The following is a 21,392-nucleotide window of genomic DNA, read 5'->3' as shown; positions in this document are numbered from 1 at the left end:
AAGAAAACTCGCTAATAACCACACATGTACAGAGTTAAGCCCTAAATGAACCAGACTGCGCTTTTTGGTTGTGGAGCTTCTAGGTGCTTATGAGCTACTACTCCTGGGACGTTGAGGCATTGGGGCTCTTTCTTAATGGGGTGGCTTCAGGACTGCTTCTGTGTTGCTGGGTGATATGTAAACATAAAGACCCTCTTACCAGAACTGCATCCAAATGGCTTCATTTGCAGCTGCTATAAACATTGTCTCCTATCAGCTCAAGCAGAGGCAAATTCTAAGTGACTTCCCCAAGGTCTTTTGGTATGAGCTTTTTGGCCTATTTCTTCAATCTGTTGGGCTCCAAAACCCTTACAGAGAGGGCCACTTGCCATCATCGTTCAAAGAGTGAAATCTACTGCAGTGAGTTACTGCTTCTATAGGGGAAGAAGAAAAGGGGATTCCGCATTTTTCCCTGTAACCTAGAGGTGCTAACTCTTGTCCATGTGTCCATCCTCTGTGTGGTAACTTCAGCTTTGGCAGTTTAACCCTAGAGTCTGTATTGCTGTTCTGGTGACTGTGTCGTGGTGCCTCTGTGTGAGCTAACCTTACTCCTTCTGCATCTGGGTCAGGGTAGTGTGGTCAAACTTTCTCTTGGTGCATTTTTTCTTCTCAGGCTCCTGAAGGCGAATCTCAGCCAATGACTGAAGTGGATCTCTTCATTTCTACCCAGAGAATCAAAGTGCTGAACGCCGACACACAGGTATCAGCTGGCTTCCACCTTTCCCAGGGTGAAGCTTAGTGACATCGTAACTCAGAGATGCATGTGTCTGTAGAGCAGGCATGTGTCTGTAGAGCAGCTGTCCCTAGATTCTGGGCCCCAGTGAGCTAGAAGGTGGTGTTCACAGTGCCTGCTGCTGGGTGGGGTTTGGGATTGCTTTCTTAAAGCCCAAAAACACCCCTAAGACATGGATGACGTTTAGCATTTTCAGAAATTTTAATCAGAGAATTCATTAATGTGAACAAATTTGTCTTTTAAGAAATTTTATTTAAAATCTCTTACATTCACGCACACAAAAACAGAAACAGCCCTGCCATTTTGATTTGTCTTTTTTTTTTTTAAACTTCTCCACAAGAGATTCAACTGTTTGGAATTTCTTATTTCTTTTCACCTGCCACAGATCATTTCCTGCTCTTGATTAGCTAAGGGAAATGCCCTCCGGCCTGGGTGGGTATCCGTTGATCCCTCAGCATGGGCTTTGCAGTGAGCCCTGGAGCCCACCCTGCATGCGAACCATACTTGACTGGCTGTAAGGTGGCAGGCGCTTTCTTAGGTCATTAGATGCTGAGCTGGACTTACCCGCCCTCTCTTCCTGCCTCCAGGAGACAATGATGGACCACCCTCTGAGGACCATTTCCTACATTGCGGACATTGGGAACATCGTTGTGCTGATGGCCCGCCGGCGGATGCCTCGCTCCAACTCCCAGGAGAACGTGGAAGCGTCCCACCCATCCCAGGATGGGAAAAGGCAGTACAAGATGATCTGCCACGTCTTCGAGTCTGAGGATGTAAGGGTTGCTTCCTTTGATCTCCTTTTGGGTTAGGTTCTCTTGACTTCTCAGAACCTGATTCAGTCTAATTCATCACACATGATGCATGTATTTATTGTGCACGTACTGTGTGTCAGGCACTGTTCCAGCACTAGAGATATAAGGCTGAGTAAAACAGACAGGGTACTCATCGCAAGGGCTGAAAGGAGGCAGAAAATCAATAGGTAAATATACTTAATGTAAAATTGGGTAGTGGGGAGTGCTCCACAGACAAATAAAACAGGGTCAGGGGATGGAGGGACAGGGGCTATGTCAGGTAGGGTGATCAACAAAGCCCTCACTTGAGGAGGTGACCTTGGAGCAGAGACCTGAATAAAGTGAGAAAGAGGAAGGAGCAAATGCGAAGGCCCTGAGGCAGGGGCTAGCTGCGTTTCCCTTTGAGGAAGGGAAAGGAGGCCAAGCTATTAGCGACTTTGGGATGAGGTGAAGAGTAGGAAGAATTTGGCACCTCCTGTAGGGGTTTGAGCAGGTCTGTCCAAGCATGAGGGCATTTTGGGAGGACAGTTCTTTGTGGTCCAGGACCATCCTCTGGGCTACAGGAAAGTTAGCATCCCTGTCCCTCCCCAGCAAACAGCAGGAGCACTGCCCACCCCAGTCCTTAGGAAAACCAGCTCCTTTTCCTGGCACAAAGCCAGTGGTTCCTAAGCTCCATTTCTCTGGGTGATGCAGTCAACAGAGAAAATTTGTTTACAACAGAAGCCATTCTGTCATTTGGCCTACTTTCAGGGTTGTAACCCAAGCTGCTAGTGAGGCCACCAGGCTGCAAACTGCAGCCTGAACTAAGCTGCTCCCAGGTGCTCCCCTACCTCCCCGCACCATCCTGGGCCTCAGCAGTCCTCAGAAGCCGCCTCCCAGGGGAGGCCACAGCCCTATAGTAATTTTTAATAGCAGAAAACTCACCCACCCCCTGAGGGCCATTGCTTTTGACTGTGCTCATTTTTCCTCCTGACACAGAGGAATAGGCTCTGTTTCTCACATGGAGCACGGAGTCCTGATCTGGGAAGAGAAGATGGCGTCTGATAGCCTTGGTTCCTTCAAAGAGGCCCTTCTTCTCCAGTACAGCATTCGTCTAGCTGCAGAAATTGCCTTCCTCTCGGAAGTTAGGTGTCAGCAGCCATCCTGCTTTTTTCTCCGGGGAACCAGAGCTGTCGTGGCTGTGGGCACAGAGAGGAGGAGATGCCAACACTTACTGTCACCATCTTTTATTGGTCTTGTTCTCTAGAAAGCAGCACAGGACAAGGTCACTGGGAGAACAGAGAGCTTGAAATACCTCTGCCTGCCATTCTCCCTACTGTTCCTGTAAAGCTGAGGCCAACATGCAAACGGGGAAAATGAGTTTTAGGAGGTTCTCAGAAAGTTCCAAAAGAGTGAAAATTTGGACTTTTAAGCCTCCTGTGTCCTGCAGGCCAGCGAAAAGATGAAGTTACAGGGATCGAGGATCCCTGTAGGCCCCGCTGCTACCTCCATCTGGCTGGAGCTCATAGGGAGGGGTTTCTTCTCCTTGGGGTACCCTTGGATCCATCAGGGAAGAAAGGAAAGATTGGAGAAGCAAGAGGTAGGCAAGAGTGGACCTGAGAATCTTACCCCTTTGCTTTCACTAGAGCAGGGCCAGAGTGTGCTGGCTCCAGAATTGGGCAAGCTGAGCTTGAGTCCTTCCTCATCCAAGCTGTGCAGCCACTAAGCCTCAAGTTCCTCTTCTGCAGGACGATAGTACCTCCCTCACCAGGCTGCTGTGGCACTCTCATAGATATTGCAGTTAAAGCCTGATGTGTGGCACATGGCTAGTGGTCCATAAATCTCAGTAGCCAGTGTATTCACCAGGGGCATCCACTAATGATGATCAGGAAGTCGACTGGTCACATTCCCAGGTATATATTTTTCAGTTTGTCTGCATGTACCTCTCTGATGCCAAAAGCAATGCCTTACTCCTTCCAGTTTTACAATAGGTAGATGGTGGTAGTTCTTGATGTGATTTGTAAAGTCATCAGATTCTAACAGTGAGAAAAGTTAAGTATTTCTTTTCCCATAGCCAGCCACACGGAAAGTTCCCATTTTGCTGTTAATAAGGTGCTTTTAGGAAAGGTGGGGAAAGAGCAGTGGAGGTTAGAATTGTGTTTTTAAAACACCGCTCTAGAGATTTTCTGGTTTGGCTTTTTCTGCCCATCAGAATTTCACAGAGAAGCCTTCCAGTGTGGTGGGCAGGAGGATGGGCTCTGGATTCAGCCCCCAGCCCCTTCTCAGGAAGTGTGCAGTTTAACCCCTCAACCTCCATATCCTGTTCTACCCAGTGGGGACACTAATACAGATCCATAGTTCCAAAGTCTAGAAAGCTCTGAGAAACAAAAGGGATTTTTGAAGTCAGGTGGCTGATAAACTTGCCTTGCCTGCTGGCAGGCCGTTTATAGAATTTGTCTAGCTTACCATGAATCTTACAGATTTTGCCACAGAAATGTTACTGTGCTCTGTGTACTTCCCCAGACCGTCAGGGGGTTATGGCACAATGTACAGTATTTGCACCCTGCTACCTTTCTAAAATTGGAAAAGTTTTGAATTCTGAAGCAGAGCCTCTTGCATTCCAAGTGAAGGATTGTGGACCAGTCATACTAATAGCTGTCATAGAATCGATATGCAGATTCAGTGATGGTCCTTGTATAGCATTTACTTTTCATAGCATATACCTTGTATAGCATTTACTGCAGCATAGCCACATGAGAAGTGCTCAGTTGCTCTTGGCTGTCTGGATTAATAATGTTGCTTAATTAATGCAGGGAAAAGCTATCAAAACCCAGTGTAGAAGCCAGTGCCACCTCCTGCAAGCTGTGTGAATTTGAGAGGTTCCTTTGTGTCTCTGGGCCTCCATCTCCTCAACTGGAAAATGCAGGGTTGGACCAGTCAGAGTTCTCAACTCTGTTAGACCCAACCCTCCCTTTCTACAATAAATATCTTATTAATGACCCATTACTATCCTGAAATGAAATTCATAGCTAATATAACCTCCCCTATTGAAAAATCTTTCACAGAATAATCAAATTGTGGCCATAAATATAATATAAAGGAAAGATAAGTGGAAAGCAAACTAAAATAAAACCATATTACAATATGTATTAATAAATGCTCTGGCGCAACCATTCTGAAAGGCATAATGAGATAGTGAGATGCTTATGCCTACTTGATTAAGCTTGGATGTAGGAGAACGCAGTGTGCAGTGGGATATCATAAACTTTCCAGTTGACATTTCAAATTGAGGGCCAAATAATATGTATGTATCTACAAGCACATGCATAATCACCATGCATGACAGCACACGTGCAGGTTGATAGGGATGTGATTTATCGGCAACACAGATATCACAGCAGCGCTGATGTTGATTTTCCAAAGTCATGAAGTTTCCTCCTGGTGAAGTACTGAATGAAGCAAAATAACATCATCTCTCAATTCAGACGGTATTATTCTTGAAATGTTCGATGTGTATTAGAGCCATACAAAGTCTTTGTGTTTATGTATAAATTGGAGTTGAATCCTGGACTCAGGTAACTGTAAACAAGTATTGCATGCACATGAATGTCCAGAGGGATCTGTGAAGATGGTGCAGGGTATAGAATGACTCATCACTGTATCGAGCTGTTTTTTGCATGGCAGGATATTCAGCATCTCTGACTCCTGTCTGCTGAATGCCGGTAGCTCCCTTATGATCATTGTCATAATCAAAAACATCCCCAGTCTTTCTGAAAATTGCCCCTGGTGGGCACTGGTAGCCCCACGTAGAACCACTGGCCCAGCAGGCGTGATGTCTAGGGTTTCCTCAGACTCCAGGAGGGCCATTGTTCAGGTGGGAAGTGCGCCAGGCCGCTCACCAGGTGCACTGCCCTGCTGACCATCTTTCCTCTCTGGCTGCTGTTCCAGGCTCAGCTGATTGCACAGTCCATCGGACAGGCATTTAGCGTGGCATACCAGGAATTCCTCAGGGCCAATGGGATTAACCCCGAAGATCTCAGCCAGAAGGAGTATAGTGACCTGCTCAATACCCAGGACATGTACAACGATGACCTGATCCACTTCTCCAAGTCGGAAAACTGTAAAGATGTGGGTACTTACCTGAAGCTGTTCTCCAGGCTGGGTCAGCTGGGCAGGGGCTTGGAAAGTGGGGCACCCTGCCGCGGAAGTGAAGGGAGATCAATGGTGAGGAGTGCCGTATTGGCAGGACATCATGAAGTCGTTCACCCCCATCTCTCGCTCCCTGCTGTGGGGCCCTGTCATGAAATGCTATTGTGGACAGGTGTAAACAGAGAGGCAGCACATCCTCTGCTCCTGGTCATCCTGAGCTAAGTTTTGGGTGGGTCCCAGAGGCAGATAGGACCTGAACTCTGCTTGTACAAACACTGCAATCTAGGTAAGGGCACTGAAAAAGTTAAATGATGGTGCCAGGTACAGGCACTAATCAAAACCAACTACACTTGGACAAACAGAGAAGATCTCAAGTTTCAGACAAGAGGTGCTGTGCTTCTCTGGGGATGGCCTGTGGCTTCAAACTGAGCTATTCAGGAATGCCTGTAGGAAGATGAGGCTATCCAAGCTGGTCTGGCGATCTGGGGATTGTAGGGGCAAGCCGAGGGTGGGGTCTATGGAATGGTTGGAAGCCTGGAGATCAGAAAGCTCCACATTTGTCTAGGGAATGAGGAAATACGGTTTGGCTAGAGCAGGAGGTAGGCACAGGAAAGGAGATAGATGGGCCTGAGATCTGGGTCAGAACTGGAGGGCCTGCAAGTCCAGCTGAGGGGTTTGGACTTGATCCCATAGGTAAAAAGAACTTTTAATGAGAAAGTGATCATTTGATCCACTGGGGTCTGTCAGGTGTCTTAGGTCAGATTCCCCAGAAGCAGAGCCTGAGGCAGGGATTCTTGTCACAGAGGTTTGTTGGGAGAGTGCCTCAGAACAGAAGGGATGTGGGAAGCTTGGTGGTGGGACACCAAGTAAGGGTGTGGTCCCTTGGACATGAGCTTCCTTCTGTCCAGAGGGAAGCTCCATGGCACATATTGCAGGACAGATTTGTCTCACCTTGGAGCGAGGGAGCTGGCAAGCCTTTGTACCCCATGCCGGTTATTGGCCAAGGCTGGACAGGGGGTATATGAATTTACTAGGGCTGTTGTCACAAAGTACCATGGACTGGGTGACTTCAACAACACAAACCTATTGTCTCACAGACCTTGTGGCCAGAAGTCCAAAAGCAAGGTGTTGTTAGCATTGGTTCCTTCTGAGAGCCGTGAGAGAAGAATCTGTTCCAAGCCTTTCTCTGGCTTGTAGATGGCTGTCTTCATGCTGTGTCTTCACATCAGCCTTTCTCCATGCATGTCCCTATGTCCAAATTTCCTCTTTTTTTTTTTGATACCCATGACAGACAACCATTCCTCTTCTTAAATAAGGACATGAGTAATATTGGATTAGAGTCCATATTAATCACCTCATTTAAAATTGGTTACCTCTGCTAAGACCTTATCTCCAAATAAAGTCACAATCTAAGTCAAAGGCACTGGGGGTTGGTAATTCAACATACAAATTTTGGGGGGACACAATTCAACCTTAACAGAATGTGTCTCCCTTTCAGCTAAGGACAGTTCTCCAGGGAAGGGGCTGACTGTAAGCTTCAGCAGCTGGGGGAAGCAGACACCAACCTGTGAAGGGGACTTTGTCAAGCCCCCCAAAAATACACATACACACTCTGTTGGGTGCTTCCAAGAGGTGTGGTACCTTTTAGTGGCATATCTGCAGGCCTCCCCAGAGTGCAAGTATCCAACATCAACCCCTGTCTTCTCTGCCCTGCCAGTGAAGGTTGTGAAAAGTCTGTGTATCCAGGATATGCACTTCCTGTGTGCACACCCAGCCTTTTGGTTGTGATAACTTCAGCATCACTTTTTCTTTTTTCTCAACTTTTTCCTTGCAGAGAAGTGTTTCTGTGTGTTTATTTATTTTTAACTCAAGAAAATTAAATGTCGGAGCGAATTGGGGAAGCACTGTGGGAGGGGGAACCTGCGCATGGAATTTGAAAAGCTATTTCTAGAAACCATAACACACCACCCACCCACAGAGCCTCATCCCCTGCCACTGAGGACAGGACTGAAGAAATTAAAAAAAAAAAAAAAAAAAAAAAAAACTGGTGGTCCTCATGGTTGTGTGCTGAGGCAAGTTTGCTTATGTGAAACGAGTGAATTACAAAAGAGTGTAGACCTGTGTGAATTCATTTCTTAAAAACTCCAAATATGCGGAATGCTGAGAAGACAGGAACTCATCTGGGTTGGTGTCCCCAGGGAAGTGTCTTTCTTTAGGCAAGACAGGAATGGGGGAGAGGCTTTCATTTCTACCTACCCCAGATGGTCACTGATGGAGGTTTTCTAAATGTTTTTCTCCTTCCAGGTTTTCATAGAGAAGCAGAAAGGAGAAATCCTAGGTGTGGTGATTGTGGAGTCTGGCTGGGGATCCATCCTCCCCACCGTGATCATTGCCAACATGATGCATGGTGGCCCTGCGGAGAAATCTGGGAAGCTGAATATCGGTGACCAGATCATGTCCATTAATGGCACCAGCCTGGTGGGCCTGCCTCTGTCCACCTGCCAGAGCATTATTAAGGTACCTGAATATGGGAAAAATCAGTTGATGTGGTAAACCTCAAGTGATGTGAAGTGTGACCCCCATCCAGTCATTAATGTATATGAACATATTCAAAGTGTCAGGCACCAAGGAAGACACAAACACAAAAGGCGTGGACTTGCACTCAGGAAGCTTACCATCAAGTTACTGTTTACAGATTCTTCCCTGAAATCAATTTAGATTAGGGGAAGTGTATTTGGTTCACATGACACTACTTTCTGATAGCAGCATGTCCATCACAGCATCACTAGTCAATCACAGCATTCTCCCACTAAGCCCAGACTCAGCCTCAACAGAAATGGCCTCAGCTTGGGAATCCAGACAGTCACTTATAGTCAGCCAGATACACTTGGCATGATTTACCATCCCTGTCAAAAATGTCAGAAATGCTTCAAATCTGAGAGTGCTTTTTCCTTCCCAGTGGCCCTGACTATGATGCAGGTGAGTTTGTCCTCCCTCAGACCCCGGGTAAAGCAACTCACATGTGCTCATTGCCAGAAGGAGGAGGAAACTCTCTTCCAGTCCATGGAAGCTTTTTCATACCTGAGCATACTTCCTGCTCAACCTGAACTGATGCTTATAAAGCTAAGAAGAGCTACTTAAAGGAAAATTAAATGTGAATACTTGAGAAGAAATGAGATTTTCTTTAGACATGAAGCATTCATGTGGAGTTTTTTGAGCACATTGGGACTTGCTGAATGCATGGCCAGTGTGACCAGGATGTTCCTCCTCCATGATGGCATCTGTAGACCCCAGTAGCTCTGCACCAAGTGCTGCGGTACTGTAGCTAGACTGAGATTCCACAGCGTTTTTTGGGGTCCTGTAGGGGTTTCCTGAAAGACTTAGCTGGAACATAGCTGTGTGCGTATGTGCATGTGTGAGAGAGAGGGAGAAGGAAGGGGATTAATTCGTGCAAATAGTCATTGTGAGCAAAAGAAAAATCACAAAGCCAGCCTCCTCAGCTAAGGGGGTGGGGGTGGGAGGTGAAGGTGAGTGTATAGGACACATGGATGGTGACTTTTTGTTTTTAATGAAATGGAGTAAATTCTAATTTCACATAAGATAATCACATCTGGAAAGAAATAGTCCTCTTTGGCCTCCTTTAATTTCTTTTTCTTATATCTTATACTTAAATAAATTCTACCTCTTGCTTAATACACGTTAAAGGTAAGATTAGAGAATCAACTTTGAACATGGATATTCATTCAGAAAGGTTTAATTGGGCCTCTGTGAGGCACTGAGCTGCGCTCTGAGGAAGCTGGCTTGCCAGTGTGCATGTGCAGGATAATTAGAGACGTGCAAGGGCTCTGCGGCCAACATAAAGGTGAGAGGCTACAAGTGATTAGATGGACAATTTTATGTGATTTTAAAGTTGACCTTGAAGGAATAAAACCTAGGTAGGTAGCAGAAAGGGAAGTGGCGTTTGGAAGTTTCTGCTTGAATTGATGGACAGGGGCCGGTGTTGAGTCAGGGAGAGATGGGGTCTGAGCCTGGCCCGGAACGGCTGGTCTGGTGTTGCTGTGATTGCATGGAGAGGCAAGCGGGGGGGTGGGGCTAGGGAGGCAGGACCACAAGTCGCTCCTGCCAGTGAGCAAGTTGCTTATTAAACACCTTGGGTGCATGCATGAGAACTGCTGAGGGGCTGTGGGACCCAGGGGCCCCGTGGACACAGTCCCTGCCCCCCAGGGAGCTTGGTCGGTTTGAGGAGAAGTGAAAGGACTTATGGCTCACAGTGCTCAGTGCTGTGTGTCTGTGCTCTGGATGCTCTGAGAATATGTGTGGACTGACTTGCTGAGCCTTCGGGGCAGCATTCTGTGGGCAGGTACTATTTTGTACCCATTGTACAAGCTAGGAAGCTGAGGCACAGCAAGATGATGTAATCGTCTGTGGTCATACAGCCTCCAATACAGAGTCATCCCAGGGAGGGTGTCAGGTGAAATGCTAGGCCCAAGGCCAGACCATGGGGCAGTACTTCTCAGCCAGGGGTGATCTTCATCCCCCAAAATGTATGGAGACTGTTTGGGTTGTCACGGAGGAGAAGGTGCTGCCAGCATCCAGTGGGTAGAGGCCAGGGATACTGTCAAACATCCTACAATGCACAGGACAGCCCCACAGCACAGAGTTATCCAGCCCCAAATGTAGGTAGTGCTGAGGTTGAGAAACTGCCTGAGCGGCATAGGAGTTCAGATGCAAGAGAGAGAAATCGATGAGAGAGGGAAGCTGGTTAGGGATGGTTTGTGGGGAGTTGGTCTGAGTCTAGAAGGGTTGGGGAGGAGGAGCGGGGATAGGGGGTTAAGTAAAGTATTGAGTAATATTTGTGTTCCCTCCAAATACATATTGAAACCCTAATCCCAATGTGATGTTATTTGGAGGTGGAGCCTTTAGGAAGTGATTAGCAGGAGGGTGGAGCCCTCATGGTTGGGATTAGTGCCCTTAAAAAAGGGACCCCAGCAAGCTCTCTTTTGGTATGTGAAGATGCTAGAAGTTGGCCATCTGCAACTCAGAAGGGGCTCTTGCCAGAACCTGACAGTGCTGGTACGCTGAGCTCAGACTTCCAGCCTCCAGAACTGTGAGGGATAAATGCCTGTTGTTTATAAGCCACCTAGTCTGTGGTACTTTGTCATGGCAGACTAAGAACAGACTCAGACAAGGGGAGGACTTAAGTAAAGGTGGGGATGGGGCCTGGGCAGGAACAAGCCGCGCTTCCTGAGGCCCTTAAGACTCCAGCTCATGGCCTGGAGTCACCTCCTTTCCTCCTCAGGACAGCCCACAAGGGGGACAGCAGATGCTAGGTGCACAGATGGGCCATCAGAGACTCTAAAGGCACAGGAGACTTGCCCAGGGCCCCCAGCTGGCCAGTGAGTCCCCACCCTCCTGCGAATCGCTCCTTCCTTATCTGCGTGGGGACCAGAGGAGGGAAGCAGTGAGGCTATGAGGGCAGCCTGACTCCCTCTGCAGCTGCCACAGCATCAAGGTGGAAGCAAAGCTTGCTGGAGTACAGACGGAGCTCTGTCTGCACAGTTTCCTAAGGGGAAATGGATTGTTTGAGGAGCTGAACTTTGATGTCTATAAATGTAATCTCTATAGAACCAGAAAATTAAAAGGCCGAGTGGTGATAAAAGAGATGTAACTGATGAAGATGAAGAGTAAGAAAAGAAAAGCAGTGCTTTCGTGGCCACCCATAGTGAAGAAGTACTTAGCAGGGCAGACCCCGATTAGAGCACAGCTGAACTTCCTCCCTGCCACAGTGCGCCGCTTGTTGAATGGGGAAATGTGATGGTCCGTCCGTGGACCACCCTGGCTGGTGGGAGGTGTAACCACTGATAACAGCCAGAATCACCAGTACCAAATACAGACTGACATCAGTGGGTCGTATCACCTTTTTAAAATTCTCTAGAAAACACACCCCTTTTTGCCTGCACCTGGACAGATGTGCACACTGCCCTACCCCCACCCCTCGGGCCACTGCAGAGCAGCATCTGGACCACTTCAAGGCTGTGTTCAAATTTGTTTCAGTGTATGTCCATGCTCTTTGCAGTGACTTTGACAAGCAACTCTCATCCTGATGAATCAGTGCTTCTCAAACTGATTGGAATCACCTGGGGATCTTGTTAGAATGCAGGTCTGATTCAGCAGGTATAGGGTGGAATTCTGCATTTTTGGCAGGCTTTGCGGCGGGGATGGCATCACCAGTCTGCAGGCTACACTTTCAGGAACAGGGATCCAAAGTGTGCATTCTGCATCTGGCCACTTCAATACTGGTTGACTATTGTCCCCCCAGGTTACAGGAAATCAATTTCTAGAGTAGAATTATAGGTATTGACTTGCCTTACTCTTCCTACCTTATTTTTTGGGTCATAATTAATTCCCAAGGCATAATTATTGGTGGGTGGAACATTTTACAGGCTGCCTCTTTCTGTGCCTTTGCCTCTGTGGTCCTGCCCTCTGGGTTTTTGCTCTGTTTTAGAATAGCGCACAGCTTCCCTTGCTTCCCCAGGAGCATCATGGTTCTGCTCTCCCGTTGCTATAGAGACCATTCTGGCTTCTCTTTTCTCTCTTCGCCCCTCTTCTCTGGGCTTCCCCTCCCACCAGATTTCTTAATTTGCTGTACCGTTCCACTGTTGTCATGGGGACCAAATGACCCTTTATTTAATTGGCACCTCCAATAAAATGGCAGCTCAGAAATCCAAGTTAATGGGACCCAACATGAAACATTGATTAGGAACAGCAGAGCAAATGCATGGTCTCGTTATTTCAAATTGCTATTTCTCTAAGCTTCATCTTGCAACACATTTTCCCCAATCTAGAAAATTTTTCACTGAGGGACAGATCAGGCATCCCAAATCAATTCACAGAGAAGGAAAGAACCGGAAAGAACCCACCAGAGCAATATGAATTTTTTAGGCAACATTGAGAAAATAGAGTCATTCTCTTGCTTTTCGGTATGTTGGGTAACATTTTCTGTATCACACAAGCATACCTAAATAATCTCAGTGGTTAATAGGCGTAAACATTTAAAGCAGGTGGCTTTGCCTGAAGGGTTGAGATTCCAACAACATGCTCCTGTCTTCATCATTCATCTCTCTTCTTTCCCACAAATTCCTGGTCTCCTGGTGTGTGATTAGAGAGAAAAGGGTGAAGGGACTCCAGCCCCCTCTGGGCTCAGAGCCCTGTGCTTAGTACTGATAATGTCTCTTATCCAGCCCCGGAGAGGGTGCGCTTCCCTGAATCTCCAGTGCCTAACACATTTCTTGGCACATGACAAGTGATTCGTAAATATTTATTGATTAGGTGGATGGAAAGGAGGAAGCACTCAAAGCAGATAAAAATATCTGCATGAATGTCTGAGCTGCTCTCCACCGTACCTCCTAGCCCCACAAAAGAAGCCCACTTTAAATTTTAGGAATAGGTTTAAGCATAATGGTTGAGATTTGGTGTTAAAGGCAAAGACATTTAGGAATAAACACATTAAAGGGGGTGCAATCATTGAAATTAGGACTGCCAGAGACATTAGTGAGCTTCACCATTTGTTGTGAAGATGAGGAAATTGAGGTGGGAGAAGGGCCAGCAAAGGGCTTCAGATCCCACTGCTTGGGGTAGCAGAAACAAAACTTGAGTTCAGGTTTTCTGACACCACAAGAGTCCTCTTCACCAGGCTGTGCTGGTCCTATTGATAGGAGCAGAAGGCCAGAGCATCTCCCTTTGTCGATGGGGACGATGGGATCTGCCGCATATGGAAGGCCTGGATCCTTCACAGATGTTCATTTCCCCAGGGAGAATCACACTCATTCCATTGCTGTGCTTTGGAATCATTTCCTTAACCAGAGCAGTTCCCTGGAGATGTTCCAAAACCACCAGGAGATGCCACATGAATGTGAATGCTAAGTCGCATGGTACATCGAGGCCACAAGCTGAGTGACAGCCATGGGGAGGCTCAAGTCCTGCAGAAAGCAGAGGAATTCAGAGCACGGGGGGAGCAGATGCTGACGGCGGGGAAATTGAGTTCCATCAAAATTCACACATTAGGAGCACAAACTAGAAGCAGAAGTCAGTGGGGAAGCCAGGGGGTGGGGGATTATGAGGACCAGGAACCCCGAAAAACTCTTGCCACGTAGGAAAATGAACTAAAAAGATGGCCCCAATTCAAGGCTGGAATTTGGGGACACAGATTTGTTCTGTGGCTGACCCTGTTGTCTTTGTGGAGCAAGCCTTATTCACAAAAGACACACCCTCTCTGGTTGTGTATATGGGGCATTATGGTGTAGAAATACTGTGCGTTTTGAATGCGGACAGACATAGGATTGAATCTTGCTGTGTGTGAATGTGAGTGAGTCATTTAAAATCTCTGAGCCTCAGTTTCCTCTTCTATAATATAGAAATAATTACAGCCACATTAAATGAGACAGCTCCTGTCCTTTCCAGGTTAATGCCAGATAACAGTGAGTGTTCAATGACAGGTAGTTACAGTCATTTTGGTTCAATTAGTTTCATCATCAGGGTGGGTTTTGATGCAGCAGTGATCTTAGGGGTGTTCCTGCATGACATAGACATGCAGATGGCTGAACAGGGGTCAGCTGTATAGTGACTGGGCAAACAAAATTTCCCACAAGATGTCACCCTCACCCCACCCTTGCCAGCGCCTGCTCTCACTGAGCACACTGGCTGCAGGTGTGACTAGTAAATTGACATCTTTGGGTGTAATCATCCATGGAGAAATTAAGCCACCTGGATGCAGATGAGGTCATTCATTGTTCTGCAGTAGTAGTCCACAACAGTTGTTCGCAAAATTGAGCGTGCACCTGAATCATCTGGGAGATTTGTCATCCACAGATTCCTGGGTCCCACCCCTAGGTTTTCTGATTCAGTGGGGCTTGGGTAGAGCCCAGAATCTGCACTTCTAAAAAGTGGCCAGGGGCTGCTGCTGCTGCTGTGTGGGGTTTAAGAGCCATTGGTGTACACCTGCTGGCCAAGCATAGTAAAGCTGGATAACCAGAGGCAAAATAGCCCCTACCTCTCCCTCAATCTAAAGCATATCCTGTAACTCAGATACAAAAGGGGTATAGGTCATTTCTGCCACTCCAAGAAGCACTCTTGCTACAGATTCTGTTTGCAGTGAAGTTGTCTAACACCAGTTTCACGCCTCTGCCAGGCAGGGTACCTGAGCAGGGATCCATAGTTCCAGTCCTGACCCCACAGAGCCCTTGGACAAAGCAATCTGTGTCTATGTCTTCATCTTTAAAATGTGAAATGTAAGTCCTGACCTCGCACTGAAAAAGATTTGGTAGACTGGTCAAGGAGTGACAGCAGTAGTGGCTGTGGAATTTACAGAATTCTATTTATAGAATAAGAGGCAGACGATCACCCTTCATGCATGCTTTTCTTGGATTTGTCACTGTTCTTTACAGGTCCTCTTTCCACTTCACTCGTAGAGGGCGCAAACTGGACCCACTCACTTGTGAACTGAGCAGGTGCTGTCTCTGAGCGATACTGTGGGCTTGGATAGAACAGAGCTTGCCTTTTCCCTGAGTCCCTCCTCATTCCCTGGTAGCTGTTCTCTCCTGCAGGAAAAGTTACCCACCTCTCCTCCCACCCACCCCACAGTTCCCTTTGGAGTAGTGGGCCTGGGGCTGAACTTGAGCGGTTTCCCAGGCAGCTGGCCTTATAGATGGGAGTCCAGTTGGGCAGGTGCTTCCCACTGAGGGCTATGACCCCCGCTGCCTCAGCTCTTATAGCAGGGCCAGGGGCTGCAGGGCCTGCAGCTACAACAGTGTGGTCTGTTTACCCCAGCATGCAAACATGATCCTCCTGCATACCATGACTTGAAAGGGGTGGGAAGGCACCTGCTATCAGCCATTCCTTCTCCTCCATGTGGCAATGAGGAGTTTGTTGAGGCACAGCAGGCACCCTGGGGAGACTGGAAGTGGACATTTGTTTCAGGGCTGAGTTCCTTTTGCCTGGCACCCTCCTCTAGGGTGAAGCTGACAAGTCAGTGGTCAGGCCTGCAGGAGCAAACCTTCCCACCACCCAGCAGAGGGCAAGTGTAGCCTTGTGATGGTTTTCTAAAGATGCTTCTGAGCACACCAGGGCTTCTGTCACTGCTGTGAGTCTGATCAGGGGACAGGAGCAGGAGCCTGAGCTCAGCTCAGACCACACAGAGGTGGAAGCTTTCTACATAGTCTCTGAAACTAGTTCCTTTTTATAGTCGAAGATCAGCTTTCCCTCTACGCTCCATTTTAATTTAGAGGGAGAGGTGTGTCATCAGGGATCATGAAACAACAGTCTGCAAGTCGTATTTCTTCCTCTTCCTTCTCCATCAACACCCATCCTACAACCCTCCCCATTCTCCCAAGGAGGCACACACTGATTGGAGTCCCTGGTTGCTGTGGGAATGTTGACAGCTATAAAATCTCTAACTGGCAGAAAGAAGGGGAAAGAGGAGCATCAGAGACAAGAGAAAAGAGCCATGATGAATCAGGCCAGTTGCTGTGAGTTAGATGTCCTTTGTTAGAAGAGGAGTCATTGCTAGAGTTTGCCTTTCAGAAGAAAAGTCCATTTCCCACTCATGTTGCTCCTGGCTGGGGGAAATAGTGTGCCTCCTTCATCTTTGAAGCCAAAAAGGACATCTGATACTTCCTCATAGTTGCACAAGTACTTTGATCAGATCCCTTGAACCCAGCCCACTTCCCAAAAGGAAGGCATTGCCCACAGGAACCCCATCTGTGCGTGGGCTAAGAGGGCTCCATCTGCAACATGTGGCGTCTTAGCCCTGGGTAGGTGAAGCCGAGCAGTGACTGTACCAGCCCAGGCACCAGAGGCCTGCAGGCAAGCAGGCAGTGGGTCCTTCGGAAGACTCAGTGCAGCTTCTTTTGCCTTTGGTGCTGCCTGCTTTTGTTTATTCTGTCTGCCTCAGTGGTCACCATACCCACTGTACTTTATTCATGTTTAAGGGCTTAAAGAATCAGTCCCGAGTCAAGCTGAATATCGTGAGATGTCCTCCGGTGACCACCGTGTTAATCAGAAGACCAGACCTTCGCTACCAGCTCGGTTTCAGCGTCCAGAATGGAATTGTAAGTAGAACACCTTCCACACCCTTTTCCACAATGTTGACAAATAAAAATGTAGCATGGCTGGGGGGGTGGAGCCAAGATGGCTAAATAGGAACAGCTCCAGTCTACAACTCCCAGCGTGAGTGATGCAGAAGACGGGTAATTTCTGCATTTCCAACTGAGGTACCAGGTTCATCTCACTGGGGAGTGCCGGTCAGTGGGTGCAGGACAGTGGGTGCAGCGCACTGTGCAAGAGCTGAAGCAGGACAAGGCATCGCCTCACCCGGGAAGCGCAAGGGGTCAGGGAATTCCCTTTCCTAGTCAAAGAAAGGGGTGACAGACAGCACCTGGAAAATCGGGTCACTCCCACCCTAATACTGCACTTTTCCAATGGGCATAACAAACGGCACACCAGGAGATTATACCCCACACCTGGCTCGGAGGGTCCTACGCCCATGGAGCCTCACTCATTGCTAGCACAGCAGTCTGAGATCAAACTGCAAGGTGGCAGCGAGGCTGGGGGAGGGGCACCCACCATTGCCCAGGCTTGAGTAGGTAAACAAAGCAGCGGGGAAGCTCGAACGGGGTGGAGCCCACTACAGCTCAAGGAGGCCTGCCTGCCTCTGTAGGCTCCACCTCTGGGGGCAGGGCACAGACAAACAAAAGGCAGCAGTAACCTCTACAGACTTAAATGTCCCTGTCTGACAGCTTTGAAGAGAGTAGTGGTTCTCCCAGCACACAGCTTGAGATCTGAGAATGGGCAGACTGCCTCCTGAAGTGTGTCCCTGACCCCTGAGTAGCCTAACTGGGAGGCACCCCCCAGTAGGAGCAGACTGACACCTCACACAGCCGGGTACTCCTCTGAGACAAAACTTCCAGAGGAACGATCAGGCAGCAGCATTTGCGGTTCACCAATATCCGCTGTTCTGCAGCCACTGCTGCTGATACCCAGGCAAACAGGGTCTGGAGTGGACCTCCAGTAAACTCCAACAGACCTGCAGCTGAGGGTCCTGACTGTTAGAAGGAAAACTAACAAACAGAAAGGACATCCAAACCAAAAACCCATCTGTACGTCAGCATCATCAAAGACCAAAGGTAGATAAAACCACAAAGATGGGGAAAAAACAGAGCAGAAAAACCAGAAACTCTACAAACCAGAGCACCTCTCCTCCTGCAAAGGAACACAGCTCCTTACCAGCAACGGAACAAAGCTGGATGGAGAATGACTTTGACGAGTTGAGAGAAGAAGGCTTCAGAAGATCAAACTACTCTGAGCTAAAGGAGGAAGTTCAAACCAATGGCAAAGAAGTGAAAAACTTTGAAAAAAAATTAGACGAATGGATAACTAGAATAACCAATGCAGAGAAGTCCTTAAAGGACCTGATGGAGCTGAAAACCACACTACAAGAATGTGACAAATGCACAAGCCTCAGTAACCGATGTGATCAACTGGAAGAAAGGGTATCAGCAATGGAAGATGAAATGAATGAAATGAAGCATAAAGAGGATTTTAGAGAAAAAAGAATAAAAAGATAGATAGATAGGAACAAAGCCTCCAAGAAATATGGGACTATGTGAAAAGACCAAATCTACGTCTGATTGGTGTACCTGAAAGTGACGGGGAGAATGGAACCAAGTTGGAAAACACTCTGCAGGATATTATCCAGGAGAATTTCCCCAATCTAGCAAGGCAGACCAACATTCAAATTCAGGAAATACAGAGAACGCCACAAAGATACTCCTCGAGAAGAGAACTCCAAGACACATAATTGTCAGATTCACCAAAGTTGAAATGAAGGAAAAAACGTTAAGGGCAGCCAGAGAGAAAGGTCAGGTTACCCACAAAGGGAAGCCCATCAGACTAACAGCGGATCTCTTGGCAGAAACTCTACAAGCCAGAAGAGAGTGGGGCCAATATTCAACATTCTTAAAGAAAAGAATTTTCAAGCCAGAATTTCATATCCAGCCAAACTAAACTTCATAAGTGAAGGAGAAATAAAGTACATTACAGACAAGCAAATGCTGAGAGATTTTTGTCACCACCAGACCTGCTGTAAAACAGCTCCTGAAGGAAGCACTAAACATGGAAAGGAATAACCAGTAACAGCCACTGCAAAAACATGCCAAATTGTAAAGACCATCGAGGCTAGGAAAAAACTGCATCAACTAACGAGCAAAATAACCAGCTAACATCATAATGACAGGATCAAATTCACACATAACAATACTAACCTTAAATGTAAATGGGCTAAATGCTCCAATTAAAAGGCACAGACTGGCAAATTGGATAAAGAGTCAAGACCCATCCATGTGCTGTATTCAGGAAACCAATCTCATGTGCAGAGACACACATAGGCTCAAAATAAAGGGATGGAGGAAGATCTACCAAGCAAACGGAAAACAAAAAAAGGCAGGGGTTTCAATCCTAGTATCGGATAAAACAGACTTTAAACCAACAAAGATCAAAAGAGACAAAGAAGGCCATTACATAATGGTAAAGGGATCAATTCAACAAGAAGAACTAACACTCCTAAATATACATGCACCCAATACAGGAGCACCCAGATTCATAAAGCAAGTCCTTAGTGACCTACAAAGAGACTTAGACTCACACACAATAATAATGGGAGATTTTAACACCCCATTGTCAACATTACACAGATCAATGAGACAGAAAGTTAACAAGGATATCCAGGAATTGAACTCAGCTCTGCACAAAGCGGACCTAACAGACATCTACAGAACTCTCCACCCCAAATCAACAGAATATACATTCTTTTCAGCACCACCCCACACCTATTCCAAAATTGACCACATAGTTGGAAGTAAAGCACTCCTCAGCAAATGTAAAAGAACAGAAATTATAACAAACTGTCTCTCAGACCACAGTGCAATCAAACTAGAACTCAGGATTAAGAAACTCACTCAAAACCACTCAACTACATGGAAACTGAACAACCTGCTCCTGAATGACTACTGGGTACATAACGAAATGAAGGCAGAAATAAAGATGTTCTTTGAAACCAACGAGAACAAAGACACAACATACCAGAATCTCTGGGACACATTCAAAGCAGTGTGTAGAGGGAAATTTATAGCACTAAATGCCCACAAGAGAAAGCAGGAAAGATCTAAAATTGACACCCTAACATCACAATTGAAAGAACTAGAGAAGCAAGAGCAAACACATTCAAAAGCTAGCAGAAGGCAAGAAATAACTCAGATCAGAGCAGAACTGAAGGAAATAGAGACACAAAAAACCCTTCAAAAAATCAATGAATCCAGGAGCTGGTTTTTTGAAAAGATCAACAAAATTGATAGACCGCTAGCAAGACTAATAAAGAAGAAAAGAGAGAAGAATCAAATAGACGCAATAAAAAATGACAAAGGGGATATCACCAATGATCCCACAGAAATACAAACTACCATCAGAGAATACTATAAACACCTCTACTCAAATAAACTAGAAAATCTAGAAGAAATGGATAAATTCCTCAACACATACACCCTCCCAAGACTAAACCAGGAAGAAGTTGAATCTCTGAATAGACCAATAACAGGCTCTGAAATTGAGCCAATAATTAATAGCTTACCAACCAAAAAGAGTCCAGGACCAGATGGATTCACAGCCGAATTCTACCAGAGGTACAAGGAGGAGCTGGTAGCATTCCTTCTGAAACTATTCCAATCAATAGAAAAAGAGGGAATCCTCCCTAACTCATTTTATGAGGCCAGCATCATTCTGATACCAAAGCCGGGCAGAGACACAACCAAAAAAGATAATTTTAGACCAATATCGTTGATGAACATTGATGCAAAAATCCTCAATAAAATACTGGCAAACTGAATCCAGCAACACATCAAAAAGCTTATCCACCATGATCAAGTGGGCTTCATCCCTGGGATGCAAGGCTGGTTCAACATACAAAAATCAATTAACATAATCCATCATATAAACAGAACCAAAGACAAAAACCATATGATTATCTCAATAGATGCAGAAAAGGCCTTTGACAAAATTCAACAACGCTTCATGCTAAAAAACTCTCAATAAATTAGGTATTGATGGGATGTATCTCAAAATAATAAGAGCTATCTATGACAAACCCACAGCCAATATCATACCGAATGGACAAAAACTGGAAGCATTCCCTTTGAAAACTGGCACAAGACAGGGATGCCCTCTCTCACCACTCCTATTCAACATAGTTTTGGAAGTTCTGGCCAGGGCAATTAGGCAGGAGAAGGAAATAAAGGGCATTCAATTAGGAAAAGAGGAAGTCAAATTATCCCTGTTTGCAGATGACATGATTGTATATCTAGAAAACCCCACTGTCTCAGCCCAAAATCTCCTTAAGCTGATAAGCAACTTCAGCAAAGTCTCAGGATACAAAATCAATGTGCAAAAATCACAAGCATTCTTATACACCAACAACAAACAGAGAGCCAAATCATGAGTGAACTCCCATTCACAATTGCTTCAAAGAGAATACAATACCTAGGAATCCAACTTACAAGGGATGTGAAGGACCTCTTCAAGGAGAACTACAAACCACTGCTCAAGGAAATAAAGGAGGATACAAAGAAATGGAAGAACATTCCATGCTCATGGGTAGG

General features: G+C 46.5%; 1 protein-coding gene across 5 annotated transcripts in view; it reads left to right on the top strand.

Annotated features, from left to right (window-relative positions):
- APBA1 (amyloid beta precursor protein binding family A member 1) overlaps nucleotides 1–21,392 on the top strand; it is a 245,482-nt gene that overhangs the window by 215,222 nt on the left and 8,868 nt on the right. For all 5 annotated transcript variants that reach the window (XM_011518617.3, XM_005251968.4, NM_001163.4 and 2 more), the window contains 5 exons: nucleotides 653–739; nucleotides 1,360–1,545; nucleotides 5,491–5,670; nucleotides 7,996–8,208; nucleotides 16,677–16,796. In XM_011518617.3, coding sequence (XP_011516919.1) covers nucleotides 653–739; nucleotides 1,360–1,545; nucleotides 5,491–5,670; nucleotides 7,996–8,208; nucleotides 16,677–16,796 — 786 coding nt within the window. The remainder of the gene's footprint in view (nucleotides 1–652; nucleotides 740–1,359; nucleotides 1,546–5,490; nucleotides 5,671–7,995; nucleotides 8,209–16,676; nucleotides 16,797–21,392) is intronic.

This window comes from Homo sapiens, chromosome 9, assembly GCF_000001405.40.
Source record: "Homo sapiens chromosome 9, GRCh38.p14 Primary Assembly".
Lineage (NCBI taxonomy): Eukaryota > Metazoa > Chordata > Mammalia > Primates > Hominidae > Homo > Homo sapiens.
Note: the sequence above shows the minus strand (reverse complement) of the source record. Positions and strands in the feature narration are given on the sequence as shown.